The sequence below is a fragment of the Homo sapiens genome, chromosome 10 (assembly GCF_000001405.40).
Source record: "Homo sapiens chromosome 10, GRCh38.p14 Primary Assembly".
Taxonomy (NCBI): domain Eukaryota; kingdom Metazoa; phylum Chordata; class Mammalia; order Primates; family Hominidae; genus Homo; species Homo sapiens.
Window position 1 is genome coordinate 44,336,203 of NC_000010.11, and position 16,707 is coordinate 44,352,909.

The following is a 16,707-nucleotide window of genomic DNA, read 5'->3' on the forward strand; positions in this document are numbered from 1 at the left end:
AAAAAACCTTTGAGTTAAAGTGGGAAGGGTGAGAGGCATTCCAGCAAGGGGCATGAAGACAAGAAGGACCAGAAACCACCCAGGGAACATGTGTTAGTTTCTTTGCACATATGAGCACCTAATATATGCTAGGTGTTGGGGTAGAAAGGTGAGTGGGAAGTGGCCCCTACACTCCAGAGTTCTTACTGCATCAGCAGAGAATCTCAGAGGAACCAGTGAGTTGAAGGGTATGGTGGAGACACAGAGGGAGGCCCAGACGGGGGTCTGGACCCAGCCCGGGGCTGCAGGGACAGTGCTGAGGTCAGCTGCCCCTTGTAGTTAGGACCCTTCAAAGCAGATCAATTAGTCCCCCTACCCTGGACTTCCTATTACAGGCTGAATTATGTCCCCTGAAAAAATTCCAGTGTTAAAGCCCTAACCCCCAATACCTCAGCATAGGACTGTATTTGAAGACAGGGTCTTTAAAGAGGTAATTGTGTTAAAATAAGATCATTAAGGTGAGAACTAATTTAATATCACTGGTGTTCTTATAAGATTAGGACATAGGCATCCACAGAGGGAAGACCACGTGAAGACACAGGGAGAAGACAGCATCTGCTCAGGGGAAACCCTGCTGACACCCTGATCTTGGACCTCCCACCTTCAGAACTATGAGAAAATAAATCCTGTGGTGTAAGCCCCCAGTATGTGATACTTAGCTATGGCAGCCCAAGCAGACTAAAACGCTTGGTAAGAGCTACCCCTGAAACAAGAGGGTATGGGCAGACATTCACTCGGGGGCTCAGCATGAGCAAAAACATAGAGATAGGGTGTGGCTTAGTAAAATACCAACATAGGCGGTTAGGCTGGAGACATAGACAGGACCCTGATACTAAAGACTGTATGTGCCAGAGCGGGGAGCTTGGAAATTGTCCTGGAGGACGACGGGCTGCTGGAATGTTTGGTGAGGTGTGAGATGTGGCCAGGTTTGAATTTAGCCAATGACTCTGCTGGGTGAATTGGGGGCCCAGTGTACTCAGGACCCTGCCTTGGAGAGGACCAGCTGCACAGAATGGCCCCTTTCACCTTTGTCCTTCCTGGCGTGTGTCTTAGGCAAGTTCCTCTGGCCTATGGCTCTTTTTCCCCAGAGGCAAATTAAAACCCTAAGGTGTGACCTTCACTGTCCTCCCACCTTGGTAGGGGGTGTCCTCCCTCAGAGCTCATGGTGCAGGATGTGATCACTGGACCCCAGCAGTTAAGCTTTCTGTTAGACATGGCTTTCTGTTCCTCCTCATACAGGAGCAAGAGGGGAAGGTGTGACAGTTTCAGCCTCACTAAGGTGTGCCCAGCTAGACCTCCCGACTGCCTCCACTCTGGGAACCCCCACTTTACTCCTGGTGGTGAGAAGCTACAGTAGTGAGCACATGCATGCTCAGTGGAACTGTAGCTGATATATCTCACAGGTACAGGCCCGGGACAACTAACACAATCACAGATGCAAAGCAGAGAAGGAAAGGGGAATGAAGGCGCTCTGAGCCATGACGCTCAGAGCCCAGCCCGGAAGCTGAGAAATGCAGAGGACATTTGTGAATGCGGAAAATCTTCTGACCCTCAATCTTGGCTGGGAAAAGAAAAAATTGTTGAAACAGGTGGGGAAAGTGGTAGCTTTGAGGGGAAGGTTCAGACAGAGAAAATACAGCAAGATGTTACCTAAAACATTCAAGGGCCAGACCCTTCCAGGTGGCCCCAAATTCCACATCCGGGATTCTAGAGAATGACCCCTCTTCCTTCACCTCTGTGGCCTCTGCTGGGACCTTGGTAAGTGCACTGAGTTATAGATTCAAGTTGAAGGGCAGGCGACCATCAGAGACAAAGCTAATCCCTGTGCCGTTAAGATCAGGGCTCAGCCACGTGTGCTCATAAGTGGCTGAAAATCCACTTGGAAGGGCTTGTCTGAGCCTCCACAAGTCCCTCAAGACCCGTGGACCACACACTGATCAGTGAATAGATCTTTAAAAAATGTATTTATTAAAGTCTCCAGTGATTTATATTGGATGAACTGGCAGAGCCTAAGAGGCCTATAGGAGCTGGGGGCTCGAGGCTCTGTGGCCTCCATGGTTTCCTGCTCCCTCTGTCCCTCCCGCTCTGAGTCAGCCTCCAGACAGGCCTCTGTTGCTGAATTTTCCTCCATCAGAAAAGTCCTCTATGCTCTGGTACCTCCATGATCCCCACAGCAGCACAAATGAAATACTCCTTAAATATCCGTGACCATCATCACATTCAGTAAGAACTGCCACATACTCTAGAGAGTCAAAAGAAGCAAGTTGTTGACAAATCTGTATATTTGGTGTGTTCACTGAATTAGTCGTTTGGCAAATTGATCGCTTACTTAATTGGCTTTCACTGAATTGGAAGAGCATCTGGGAGCAGCACAGAAGCAGAGACAGGGAAATGTGCAACACTACAGTGTGGAATTGGGCCTAGAGACCAGAGAGAGTGGGAAACTTTGGGAGTGAACGGGCCAAGGGGAGGACATGGGATTGAGGGAGGGGAAGTGAGAAGCAGGAATCCTGGCACTTCCTGAGGGTGCACAGCCTGTACCATCCTCCAAATGCCTCCACATCTCTTTTCTCATTTCATCCTCACACAATTGTGTGACACAAGACAAGTCTTTCAATCCCATTTGCAAGTGAATTAAGAGCCCTAGAGATGTAATTTTCTAAGATTATAAAGTTAATGTTTTAAAAAATTTAGAGCTCAAACCCAATTTATGAGGTTCTAAGACCCATGTTCTTGTCCATCTCACAGGTAAACTGGCAATGAAGGAGAGAGAGACCCAGAGGAGTGGCCATGATAATTCACCACTATGTTTCCAGAGCATTGCACATAGTGGGTGCACAGCAAATATAGCTTGGATGAATGAATGAGTGAGTAATAATGATAATGATCATGAGGGTGATAATAAAAGTGGTTAATAAGTATTGAGTGTGAAGAATTATCTCATTTAATTTTCAACCATATGTGGTAGATCATATTTTTAAACCCATTTTGCAAAGGTGGTTTAGAAAATTCAGTGGTCCTTGAGTCTAGCCAAAAGGCCTTGCAATGAAGCATGAAGGGCTGAAAGAAAATGCTTGACCAAGCAATGCTTTCCCGGAGGCAAAATGCAGAGAGTTGCTTGATTGTGTAATAGGAAACTGAGCCTGTAACCCAACCCCTGCGTCCTGAGTTTATACCTAGATTCCTGGGCCATGTGGTTCAAATATTTAGAGAAATTCTAAGTAGCTGGCTGTACCTGTGAGGTCCACATGGGACGCTGTGAGGGAGAACTTGCTCTCCTCACCATCACCAAGTCCCAAGGCTGCAGGGCCCCAGTGCTGGGCCCTTCCTTCCTGCCTTCCTCCTCTCTTCCTGTGCTAGTTCAGCCCTGCATTACCCTTCCTTGGGGCAAAGGTTTGCTCTCTTACTTCAGTCTGCCCAGCACACCCCAGCCAGGGTGATCTGCTGAAGAGCAACTCAGATTATTGCACTCTCTCGCTCAAAACTGCTGGGTCCCCACCTCTCCTGCCCCCCATACCTAGGAGCAGACGGTCTCAAACTAAAGGCTGTATCAGAATCCCCTAGAGCACTTGTTAAAACATAGGTCTAGGGTGGGGCTAAGAATGTGCATTTCTTGCAAGTTCCCAGGTGATGCTGATGCTGCCGGTCCAGGGACCACTTGGAGAAGCATAGCTTTAAATGAAAGCAAAAGGCCTCGACCTGGCATTTAAGCACTTTTATACCAGGTGCCAGTCCACATCTCCTTCATTTTCTTCTTTTGTGAATCACTGTATGCACACTGGGCTGTTATTAGGGTTACCAGGTATGTTCCTGCCTCCACATGTGCAGTGTCTCTGCCTAAAATACCTGCTCCCCGTCCACCCTGCCACATTTTCCTGTCCCCCTCCAGCTTCTCTGCGCATCCTTATCTTACCCACTCTGCCAAGTCCACCTGCCATGGGAAGCCTTTTCTGACCTCTGTTAGTGGTACAAGCCCATTCCTTGCCTGCTCTTGGAATAGTTTATTAGTTCTTTCTCGTGCCTTTCAATCTCAAATTCTGTTCCTATGTATCTATGTAGTATATGCCCTGCTAAAATATTGGCTACAGAGACGCAGGGTGGCAGGGTGGTTGTATGCACAGGCTTCGGACCCTGGCTGAGCTGTTTTCATGTCTCACTTCTGCTGCTTGCTAGCTGTGTGCACCATCACGGTCAACTCAGGCTCCCAGGTTTTGGTTTCCTCATCTATATAGTGAGAGAAATTCATGCTGCCTGTGATGGTTTTAAGACACATCTGCAAATTCTTTGATACTCCTTCCCCCAAATGAGGGCTGGCCTTTGAGACTCACTGGTAAAAAATGGAATGCCGTGGAAGTGACACTCTGTGTTTCTGAGGTGAAGTCATAAGAGGCTACACAGCTTCTGCTAGACCCTCTTGGGATGTTCTTGCTTGGAGCCAAGCAGCCACCTGGAGACCCCACACAGCCTTTCCAGCTGACAGTCCCAGCTGAGGTCCCAGCAGATGGCACATCCACAGTGAGTGGGTGAGCCTGGAGAGAACTTCTGCCCTCATTGCCCTCTGACCACAGCTGAGGGAGAGCCCAGACGAGCCTATTCTACCCCAGGACCACGAGGGTACATGATGAAATGACTGTTAGAGTGATTTGTTCTACAATAGATTCCTGAGACACTACTCTACATGCTTATTTCAAAGGTTAAATGAGACCATGAAAGAATTTATTGTACTACCTGGTGCACTGGGAGTAGAGGGAGGACCTTGTCGCCCATGTGTTCAGCCGCCCAACAACCTAATCCACAAAATGTTAGGTTTTGCCTCTACACCCTCTTCCAAGTTGCCTACTGTGTCATCCAGATATTCAGATCCCATGGCCTGTGCCACAGGTTTCTCCCAAAGCTCAGAGGCAGTAGTTCACCTTGATGACTTGGTCCTAAGGAGATGTAGGTGCAAATGGGCTCCTCCTAAGAGGATGTGTTCAGAGGCTGTGCAATGGTGCTGGGGCTCTTAGCACAGGTGTGCTCTTCCTCTCTGCTCTTCACCCAGCTCCCTAGACAATTACTGGGAACCCTTGCCCTCTGTATGGTCCTGGCTGTCAAAGGGCCACTGCAGTTTCATGGTGTGGAGGCTGAAAACAATGGTTCCACATTCCTTGACATTCCTCCCCTGGAGAGGTAGGCTATGTCCCCTCCCCCCGAATCTGGGCTCCACCAAAGAGCCTAGGGACGTGACCTGGACACTTCAGCCTTCATCTCCTCTAATAATCTCTCTTGAGACTCTCTCCTGGGCCCCTATCGATTACTGTTTCTTAAACTGAACTAATAGGGTGTGTGTGTGTGTGTGTGTGTGTGTGTGTGTGTGTGTGTGTGTACAGAGAGATCTACCTTAAGGAATCCACTCCCACAATTGTGGATACCAGCAAGTACAACATCTGCAAAACAGGCTGTCAGGCTGCAGATCTAGGAAACAGCTGGTGCTGCAACTTGAACCCAAACACAGTCGGGAGGCAGAATTCCCTCTTCCTCAGGGTACCTCAGTCTTTTTGCTATATGACCTTCAACTGACTGGGCGAGGCCCCCCACATGATAAAGCATGATTGACTTTACTCTGAGTATACTGATTTAAATGCTCATATCATCTAAAAATGCCATCACAGTGACAGCTAGGCTGGTGTTTGACCAAATATCTGCTATGGCCTACCCAAGGTGACACATAAAATATTCCATCACAGGCCCTCTCTTTTAGAATCCAGCGACCATGCTATGAGCCGCCTAACCAGGCAAAAAGGTGAGGAGGAGGAACTGTGGTCAGCACTCCAACAGGACCCAGCCTCCCAGCTGTCAAGCCCAGGCATTGAGTGACAGCACCTGCAGAAGGCCCTGCTCAGCCCCAGCCCTCAGCATCACGCCTGACCACTCAAGTCTTTCCAGCTGAGGCCTTAGAGACTGAGGAGGGGAGGCCACCCCCTTTCATCCTGTTCAGACTCATGACCCACTGAATTCACAAGCACAATGAAATGGGGGTGGGTTTATGGCACTACATGTTGGGATGGTTCAATACACAGTAATACATAACTGGAATACTAAATCTTTAGCAGAAAAATTCTCATGTAGCCCTCATATGTAGTCAAAGGAGAATTTTACAGGCATGGCTAAAAGCCACAGCTCCCCAAACAGTCCTCATTAAACCAAATTATATGACCTCTCGCTTCTTCCCATCTCATCTTTCTTTGTTTTTCTTTCCCAGAAATGAAGCCTTCTCTGAACCAGTCCCAAGAAGTCTCAACTTTAAAGCATTAACTCCCCCAATGAACTTGCTTTCATTTCATCTTCTCATATGTCATTGCATTCTCAACAAACCAGATCTATAGGATGGATCAGTCGAAGCTTACAAAGAAATCTAATTAGGTATGGAATATGAACTTTTTATTTGATAAATAACTTAGCTGGAGATACATTGAGAGTTACTCTATTAGAATAAAAGAAAGAAACGTCATAATTGCTGGAGTTCATGAGTGATTCTCTCTGTCCATGGGGCTGTCTTGTGAATGTTATGGGTTAGCCCTGGGATGGCCTGCAGCCAGCTGCCATGGAGGGCACTGAGAACCCACACACAAATAGTGAAGTTGCTTTGCAGGGAAACACATTTGTTGAGGAAGGAGAGGGAGAAACAGAGCTGTTTGTTTCCTACTCTGCACTGCCCAGACTGGTATAAAAGAGGAAGGCTCACTTTTGTTGAGGGGAGGGAGGATAGGGCAGGAAAACCTGGCTTTCTCGCCACATCCTGAATGCAGAAGAACTCGTGGTTCACCTGCGTCCTTCTCTGGGAACGAATATTTGGGAAATGAGAACCTTGGCACACCTCTAACATGTAGAAACATCCACGGACTGAAAGGCGGGACACAGCAGGCAAAGGCAGGCTTGGTTTCCACATGGGGCATAAGCCAGTCTTGGTCCAGCTAAGACAGGAAGGGATGATGATCAGGTGGGTAAATGAAGGGGGATCCTGATTCCACCTCTCTCCTGGGGAGATCTCAGAGCCCCGTGTTCTCAGTCCAAACTCAATTCTATAAGAAAGCTGAAAAATCTGAACGGCACAGAAGAAAGCCATGGCAATGGTGAAATTCAGACAGGTCTTAAGGGAATGAAGGGACAGAAAGCAGTGAGTCCGAGGCACAACCTGTCTGCCAGGTCTCTCATCTCCTGCTGATGGGGGGAGGAAGCCTGGCTGCTGAAAAGGCACTTGGGACATTCGCCAACTTGAGCCTCCTTTTTTTTCTTTTTCTTTTTCTTTTTTTTTGAGACAGAGTCTTGCTCTATCGCCCAGGCTGGAGTGCAGAGGCATGATCTTGGCTCACTGCAACCTCCGCCTCCCGGGTTCAGGCAATTCTCCTGCCTCAGCCTCCTGAGTAGCTGGAGGCTTTTGAGCACACAAAGCTGGGAGGAGATCCTGGGTGACAGAACTAAGATCCAAAATTTACTTGACCAACCTAGAGAAATGGACAAAATTTTACAAAATGAAAGTCCAAAGAGGAAATCTTTGGGCTTGAATGTGCCTCCCAAGCCCTACTGCAGAGGAAGACAGGTAAGCATTTGAAAGCTTACAAAGCAACTAGATCACCAGGAAGTTTCCTGGGGCCTGAAAATCAGCTGCAGTTCTTCGAATGCATAGGCAGTTCTCTCTACTACTCAGGGCATAAGCCCTTCCAACCCCTGGTTCCAAGGACTACAGCTCTGAAAGGGTAGAATCCCCCAGTGTCTGGGGATAGGGCAGCCCCACAGGGCAGTTAAGTGCTCTTTCACTTCCTGGAGGGCAGACAGGGCTGAGGAGGGCGCCAAGCACCTGTGGATCCGGATCTGGGAACCATGCTGCCCAAAAGAACCTACTCTTTTTTCCCAGTTACTAGCACAGCTTCCCAGCATAACTTTCCCTGCATTTAACTTGTGTACTTTCTTCCAGGGTAGGGCTTGGAAACATCAGGCTAGCACAGATTCCTCTGAATTTTCTGCACTTGTTAAGTTGCCCCTGGAAACTCTTTTGGGGAAAAATCTTGAGACTATTTTGGCTGGGAGAACAGAAAGAAGGGATTCTCAGTGGTTAAAAAACAGACAAACAAACAAAAAAACCCCACATACCCTGCACTTTTAAAAATTAATCAATGTGTTTTTACAGTCAGGTCCGTACCAACCACCTGCTCTGCCTCAAGGGTGTCTTTTTAACGTAGGGTCACTTGGAACCTGGCAGAACACAGGCGTGCTTTCGAATTTCAATAAACTGGGGAAAGAGAGAACTTGGGATTTCAGGGGCTTAAAAAGAAATAGAAGAAACTTGCCTGCTAACTCTTAATTCGTATACTGAATATTTATTTTTAACTCATGATTATTTTTAATGACCTGGAGTAATGAATTTGGTGTTTTAAAACACCAAATTGCTCAGCTGGGAAGAGGGTTACTGTGTGTCATGAAAGAGTGATCCATTATTTCTGCCCTGGGGTTCTTATGAAGAGGTTTGGACATTCTGATCTCCTTGGCCACAGGCTGGCGAGATGGAGATCTCCTTCCTAGAGATGTTGAGGCAGATGGCCTCTCTTTAAGGAAGATTCATGAGGGCTCTGAGGAAGAACTTCCCTTCTGGTCACTCATTGAATGCTGCCGAGAATGCAGGGGTGGCTGGGAGGCCCCCTGCAGGTGAGGGCATGAGAGGCCATTTCTCCCTGCTCCAGAGCCTGGGAGAGGCGATGGTGCCATCACGACACACCTCAGGAGGCCATGGTCAGCACAGGAGCGCTACTACAGGGCCCACGGTAAGGTTATGCAGACATATTTTCACAAGGAGGTTCCAGGTATTGCATGACCTTAGCCCTCCACAAGAGGTGGGAGTTGAACATGGGGAGAAATGACCCTCCTTTAAGCAAGGGGAGGAGAAAAGCCAGCATGAGGGAAGAGCCCCAAGTTGCCAAGTCGGACGCTAATGGAGAGATCCACCTGGAAAGAGGCTGGGAAGAGACAGAAAGTTCTGGAATGTCAGATTGAAGGACCTATTATTATTTCTCTGTACACTTTGGGGAGCAATTAAAAATGTTTGAATGAGAAGCTCTTATTTTTTTACATGATGGTCGTCGGGTGCAGCCACAGAAGGAGACACAGGAGAGGCTTGGGAAGAGTCCATTACACTCATGGGTCCTAGAGCCAGGAGGGTGCTGTGCTGGGCAAATGTGGGAAGGACACCAGGGCAGTCAGGAGCAGAAGGCAGGGACAGGGGAAGGCTGGGCTAAGACCTCTACTGGGGTTTCTGTGGGAAAGGCAAGGCAGAGCAGGGCGAGGAGTGTCAGAGTCACTGTGATGGGCTTTGGACGTAGATGGTGCCTAGTTGTCTGGTGCCTGGCTGTCTCAGTTCATGCAGGCTACTGTAAAAAATGCCATGGGCTGGGGGACTGATAAGCAACAGCCATTTATTTCTCACAGTTCTAGAGGTTGGGAAGTCCAAGATCAAGGTGCTGGCAGATGTGGTGTCTGATGAGGGCCTCTTCCTGGGTCACAGAGGGTGCCTTCTTGCTGTGTCCTCACACAGTGAGAGGGGCAAATGATCTCCCTCAGGCCTCTTTTATAAGGGCACTAATCCCAGAGCCCCCATGACCTGATCACCTTCCAGATGCCCCACCTCCTAATACCATCACCTCGGGGAGTTAGGGTTTTGACATACACATTTTGGGGGGATAGGAACATCCAGACCACAGAACTGTCCCTGGGATGGTTAGGGCAGCGGGTATTGCCTCCTGGGGTGCAAGGCCCAGGTAAAGGAGGGAGAGCTCTGATGGGTCAGTTTGCACCTCAAAGGCATGCTCACCACTGGGCCCTTTCCTCTTTCTAATAACTGGCCCAGGAGCTGCAGTTTCTCCTCAGCTAGAAAGGATTTTTTAGATGTCAAAACATGGCAATATGCAGAAAATTAAAAATATATACAATGTAGAGCCCAACAGAACAGTGCTATGACCAGGTGCCCAGGTATGGGGCCAGTGAATGCTCCACCTGCATGGCTAGGGAGCTGTGCTGCCTCTCCACTCAGCTTTCTCCCCTGTAGCGAGGGGACAGTGAGTCCTGGCCTCACACGGTGACTTTGAAGAGCAGGCATGCTGCTGTGTGTGAGGCCCTCAGCCCAGGGCCAGGCACACAGTCGGTACACATGTTTACGTGACAAATACTAGGACAACTTGGCTTGAGAAAGACTTAATCAGCAAAATGGATTGGAGTGGGGAAGCTGAAGAGGGGAGACCAATTAAGATCCTGTAGCTCAGAGACAAGGCGGTGAGGGCCTGAGCTAGGGTGGCCTGAGCGGAGTAGGAAGGAAGGCGTGGTGGGACTCCGCAGGTTTCACCGCTGAGGGGATGCTGGAGCCCTTCATGAAGGCATTCACTCAGGGAGCAGCTATGAAGTGCCCACTGCATGCCCAGTGCCAAGTGATGTGTGTGGAGTTGGGGACGCTGCGGACCAAAATGCTGCTCCTCCAAAACCATTGTCCTCCCATTTCTTGCTTTTTGCCCTATTCCCCTCTATCCCTGTACATCGCTTGATGCTCAAAGGTTAGATTTAATAAGTTTGAGGCATCCTTGGGATTTCATGGTGGTGGCAATAGAAAATGTGAGACTGGATTTTAGAAGTGAAAGTGGGAACAAGGTGGAGAATTGGGAGTGATTGACATGAAACAATTGGAATATTTGAGGTCGGCAAGAGGGGAAGTGTAGGGAGGAGAAGAGAGCAGGGGAGTATCATCGGTGTGGGGCTAGACCCTTTTATTCCCCCTCCCAGGTCAGCATGAAGCTCCCTGAGGCGACACCTCACTATCCTGTGTCCCCCAGCACCCTAGACTTGATGGCAGCAGAAGACAGAGCAGGTCCTCAGCCTCAGGAGCTTAAACGACCCATCCCGCCATGTTTTGCATATGTTTGCCTACTTGACAGCTACCAAAGTTTTAAAAACAAAACATCCGTGTACATTTAAATGGATGTAGGCATCAGAGCCTATAAATCGGTTGATTTAGACTATCCTGTTGGCATCCATAGTCCAAGTCACACAGGGTTCAGATACCAGCTAGAAGTGCCAGTCTCCTCCCACCACCTACTGCCCTCTCAGGCAATAGTACTTTTACTGAGGGGTGTGTGTTAGATTCTTAGATGGGAAGAACAGTGGAGAACCAGACTGAGAACCAGAAAAAAGGCAGGATGAGGACCAGGGTTGCCTGGGGGGCTGGGAGTCCCCTGCCTTCCCTCTCAGAAACCAGCACCAGAAGGAACGCCATCCAGGTACTGTCTCACCTTGACTCTCTGGACTGAGGGTCGTATCTCCCAGCAGCTCATCCCTTGGCCCAGCTTGGAAGTCAAAGACCTGCTGGATGGGAGCAGGGAGAGGGAAAGAAGATTCTGCAAAACAGAGTCGTGCTGTTAGGGAGGGGGAATGGGTGCTGGGAAATCAGAGAAGCAACCATGCTCAGGGAGCTCTTTATGACACCAGGACCCTGGGCATAATCAAGTACCAGAGGCCTTCAGTGTCCCAGGTACCCAGAGGCCTGCGGGGGGCACTGAAGCGCTCAGAGCTTTTGGGAAGCAGCATCAGCACTGAGCACCACAGAGAGCCCAGAAAAGCCTCAACCCCTGGGAGGCATCACTTTGGAGCAGTTTCTACATTTGCTTTCTGCGTTGTGTGCCAGGGAGTATTTGACAAACATCACGGCCTCATTCACTGGGTCTCCTTGTAACTCCCCTATTCTGAATACCTTGAAACCATTCTGTCAAACTTAGAGTCAGCCACAGAAATGCAGCTTAAGATACCATTGCCCCAGGTGTGCTGCTGGGGTCTGGGCCCTCACCTGCACTCCCTGAGAGCTCCATGCCCTGGAGAAAGGCCTCTGTGAGGGAGGGAAAGGCACTGAACCTGGACATAGGCTGTGTGGCCTCAGAGTGGAGAAGGTGTTCTGTGGTCCTCCCGGGGAGCCTGACTGATGAGACGGCCATCACCCTGCCCTGGACGCCTTGCCTGAGGGTGTCTGTGTTACTGTTGGGTGAGTGTCAGCCCTCAGCTCACTCAAAAGCTTCTGGGCTATTTGCCTGACAGTAGACGTGACCAGCTTTCCTCACCGGGGTCTGTGGAAAGGGAGGGAGAGCATGTATCATGCTCCTTACCTCTGTTTGGCAATACTTGCTGCTGCCTTCATAGAGAAGCAGGTATAGGTATCAGGTGTGAATCTGCCTGTCCAGATTGCAGTGGGAAAGCATCATTTTCCTTTACGTGTTTCAAATAAATTTAATTCTGGTCCCAAGCTACCACTTATCAGAGAAGACGAGGCACCCAGAATCAATCAGCCTTGGACTCAGCCTGCCATGGCCAGCTGCTGGCCTCTGTCCCCTCATTGTGCTGTCCTCTAGGAAGGGTGGGTGAGGCTGGCCCAGGGGCTGTGGTGAATGCTCTCCCCTCCTCACACTCCACCAGGCCGTCCTCTCTGCTCACCTTGTCCAGTCTCAGAACTTTCCCCATCAAGAAGACAGGTCTAGGGGACAAGAGGCTGTGCTGTTCTCAAACCCAGAAAGGCCCTCCAGCACACCATGGAAGACCAAGCTGACATTCACTACTTACCCTTCATTCGATACATGCATCACGTCCTGGCATGATCCTACGTAGTCACTGTTTCCTTTCTGCATGCACCGCTTGGATGTAGACTTCATGATGCCTGGCCCATTCGTTCATTGCTGCATCCTGCATCCTCAGTGCCTACATCAGGCCCCAGGATTTATTTGGGAATCTGAGTGCAGGACTCACAGTGCGGGCAGGGAGAAGCGGCCACCTGAATGAGGAAGCCCAGCACATATAGATGAACCATCAAACAACAAAAAGAGAAAATAAAGGGTGAAATAAACAGCAGAAGAAGTAGAGACAAATGATAGAAAGAGGCTGCCTGCAGAAGTGAGCCTGTGTGTGGACAGTGGGGCTGAGGTGGCTGCTTTTTATTGTAAGCTCTGCTGTGACACTGAGTTGTTACCATGTCCATACAGTATCGTGCTTAGCAAAGACATTCCTCCTTAATAATCAATTAATGTTAATTAATGTTCCTATGTTGGCTGGGCCAACATAGGAAGATACTGATATTTACATATTTCCACCCTACCATTGTCATGGTTCCTCATCTCTTATGATGGTGGCTCCTATAGTCTCCATATTTGTCTTCCTGTCTCAATTTGCTTTCCCCACTAATTTAGCCCCCATATTGTGATCAGATAAATCTTTCCAGAGCACAAATCAGATCCTGCCATTGCCCTGCTCTGAAAATTGTCATTTTTCATAAGACAAAGTTCATCTTGCCATATTAAACGTTTATTGAACTATGGTCCTGGAGATTCAAAGATGAAAATCCTAATTCTTGCCCTCAGGGAATTCATAGTCTAGTGATAACAGACAATATGCACAAGGCATTAGCTAAGTGTTATGGAACTGGCAGATGCTAAGAGAGCCGGGTATACAAGAAAGGCACCAGGGGACGAGGCCTGAATTAGTCAGCTGAAAACGGGGAGAATACGTTGGTTGGTTCAGCCTAGCCATCATTCACCCTTTTCTTCTGGTAATGGAACTCTCACTTTTCCTTTGAGTAATTGCTCCTTCTCCATTCCCCCTGTGGCCTTCAGGACATTGGCACTCAAGGTTCAACTGCCCCAACCATCCAGGGATAAGCACATGATCTCAGCATGGCTTGTCATATTCCTCCCACCTCTCTCTCTCAAGTATAATATGTCCTTCACCTTGTGGGACTACTATATAGCATGGACAGTTGAACAGGTTCGACACTGCACTCCTGTCCCACTCCTACAGCATCATGTACACAACATCTTGCTCATTTTTGTATCTATTTTCTTCCTGCTCCTCAATGTCCTCAAAGTCAAGAACATGTCCTCTTCTTATTCTGAGGCATCTTTGTGCAGTAGTTATGGGTGAATACGTGGGAACTAGCAGCCGCTAGTAGGCTCTGTCTCCTAATGATTTAATGACGTTTGGCTTTAACTCAACCTAATGGAGCCTCAGGTCCTCTCTCTGGAAAATGGGAATAATACTGTTGTAGTCTGTTTTCTGCTGCTATAACAGAATACCACAGACCGGGTAATTTATAAACAATAGAAGTTTATTTGGCTCATGATTCCGGAGGCTGGGATATCCAAGAGCATGGTGCCAGCATCTGGGAAGGGCCTTTGTGCTGTACCATCCCAAGGTAGAGGGTGAAACAGCAAGCAAGTATACACAGAGCAAGAGAGCAAGAGGGGGCTGAACGTGCTTTAATAACAAGCCCACTCTCTTGATAACTAATTCATTCCCATGACAATGACATTGAGGGCAGGGTTCTCATAAACTAATCACCTCTTGCTAGGCCTCACTCCCAACACTGTTGCATTGGGGTTCAAGTTTCCAACACATGAATTGTTGGGGATACATTCAAAGCATAGCAAATACCCGTCATACAGGACTATGGGAGGAGTAAAGAAGGCAGATCTGTAAAGCAAGCAGCCTCTTCACACAACACCAAGCCTGGGTGTAGTATGTGCCCAGTTAGGCAAATTAGTCTTGAAAACCTAGGAGATATACCTTTGCTTTGTGCTGGGCACTTGGAACAGATGGAAAGTCTGCCAGATCCCCCTTTTTTGTAGGGAGCACACACTTTATCTAAGGCCTTTTCAGCATGTGACCTAGCCACCTGCCTGCTTGCATGCACCCCAAAAGATAGACATGTGTGACCTACAGGCAACTTTGCTATCTGATTTCCCTGTGGGCATGGCACACTTTGGTTGCAGATAACTTGCCCTTGCTTATTCCTTCTGAACTTTAACAGTAACCCTGAAAGGTAGACACTCTCATTCTCCCTATTTTACAAATGAAGAAACTAAGGATCAAGTTGGTGAAGGATTCCCTGTGGGTCACTAGGAGCAGGTAGCTACTAGCGGTGTGGTCTCACCTCCAAAAGGTGTTTCTTTCCTTTCTTTCTCTCTCTCTCTTTCTTTCTCTTTTTCTTTCTCTTTCTCTCTTTCTCTCTCTTTCTCTTTCTTTCTTTCTTTCTTTCTTTCTTTCTTTTTCTTTCTTTCTCTTTCTTTCCTTCTTTCTTTCTTTCTTTCTTTTCTAGACAAAGTATCCAAAAGGTGTTTCTTTCCTTTCTTTCTTTCTCTCTCTCTCTTTCTTTCTTTGGAGACAAAGTCTCCCTCTCTCGCCCAGGCTGGAGTGCAGTGGCGCCATCTCGGCTCACTGCAACCTCCACCTCCCGGATTCAAGCGTTTCTTCTGCCTTAACCTCCTGAGTAGCTGGGATTACAGGCATGCACCACCATGCCCGGCTAATTTTTTTTGTATTTTAGTAGAAACAGGGTTTCTGCATGTTGGTCAAGCTTGTCTCGAACTCCGGACTTCAGGTGATCTGCCAGCCTAGGCCTCCCAAAGTGCTGGGATTACAGGACTGAGCCACTGCGCCCAGCCCTTTCCCCTCTTTCACGCTATCTTTTTCATTTGAAGAGCACAGTCACCAGGATTCACTTGAACTTCAGCATGACCAGTCCCAAAGTGGCAGCAACTCTCTACCCAAGTTCCTCTGTTTTTAGGGGTCACCACGCTAGAGAGCAACAAGGAGGCCTCTGTGGGTGCCAGGACCACCAGGTACTGATCCCCAAGGGAACAAGGGCCACATCCCAGGCCCTGAGAGCCCAGGTGAGAGCATGGGGTTCCTGGTGAGACCCGCTTCTGAAGGATGATGTCTCTGACTTCCGTGCTTTAAAAGCAGGGAGTGAACAGAAGAGGTCGGTCATGGGTTGATCCCCCCAGAGTAGCTCTGGCATTCATCAGCTCCTTTTGGGCTAGCTGCTTTGCATTAGAGAAACTTTGCATTAGAGAAACTACAGGGTCATTCAGCTCACTCTTCACCTCTCTCCTGGTGCCACACTCTCTTTGCTTCTCTTCTTATTTTCTTCCCCTCCTCACTCTTTGTCTCCCTCGTGTTTCTGTTTTTTCCTTCCCTCCTCCCTCATCCGTCTCTCTGGTTCTCTCTGTCACCTCTTGCTTCCATCCTCTCCCTCTTTCTGGTGCCTGGTGATTGAGTCAGGAAGGTGTGGAATCTGTTTTCCTGCCCCCAGAACTGTGACTTCAAACCAAGGGAGGAACTGTTTGGGAGAAAGACTGAGGAGGGTTTAGCAGTTATCAAAGGCCCATCAGTGTCGGGGCGGTAGACTTCCTGTTTATACAGCCCTCCTCCTCCTGGGAGGCTCAGCTGAGCCTGGCCAGCTGTGGCTTGGGCAAGCTGCCGGCTCCAAGGCTCAGGATCCCACTGAACTTGTGTCAGGCCCGGCCTCTTACCCTTGGCCCCAGGCTCATTGAGAAGTCCTGGGGTTCCTCACACCTGCTGCTGGCTTCCTCTGCACACTCCCTTGCATCTCCCAGTCTTCCTCTATCAGGGGGTCCTGGGAGTGCGCACTTTTTAGGAGGAAGATGCTGGTGTGTCCACCCTTACCCCTGCAGTGCACAGAGGGGCTTGGTTGGTGGAATGCCTCTGACCCTCTGTCTTAAAGGCAGGAGCCCCGTGTCTCTAAACTGGAAAGCCACCTGGGAATTCATGCATCTGTCCAGCCCTCACATACTGATTAAATACCATTCAGGTGTGAAA

At 48.8% G+C, this 16,707-nt stretch overlaps 1 long non-coding RNA gene across 1 annotated transcript in view, besides 1 other annotated feature; it reads right to left on the bottom strand.

Moving 5' to 3' along the window:
* The window catches only part of LOC124902544 (uncharacterized), a 57,376-nt gene extending 42,289 nt beyond the window's left edge, over positions 1-15,087 (bottom strand). Inside the window, exon 1 of the long non-coding RNA XR_007062369.1 lies at positions 11,346-15,087. This is a non-coding gene — a long non-coding RNA (uncharacterized LOC124902544). The remainder of the gene's footprint in view (positions 1-11,345) is intronic.
* Positions 2,065-2,566: an enhancer, noted in NCBI's record as "H3K27ac hESC enhancer chr10:44833715-44834216 (GRCh37/hg19 assembly coordinates)". NCBI's record gives its function as "activates a minimal SCP1, AML or CMV promoter by ChIP-STARR-seq in naive H9 embryonic stem cells {active_cell/tissue: H9 hESC(naive)}" and the evidence as "EXISTENCE:reporter gene assay evidence [ECO:0000049][PMID:30033119]".
* Positions 15,088-16,707: the final 1,620 nt, after the last annotated feature.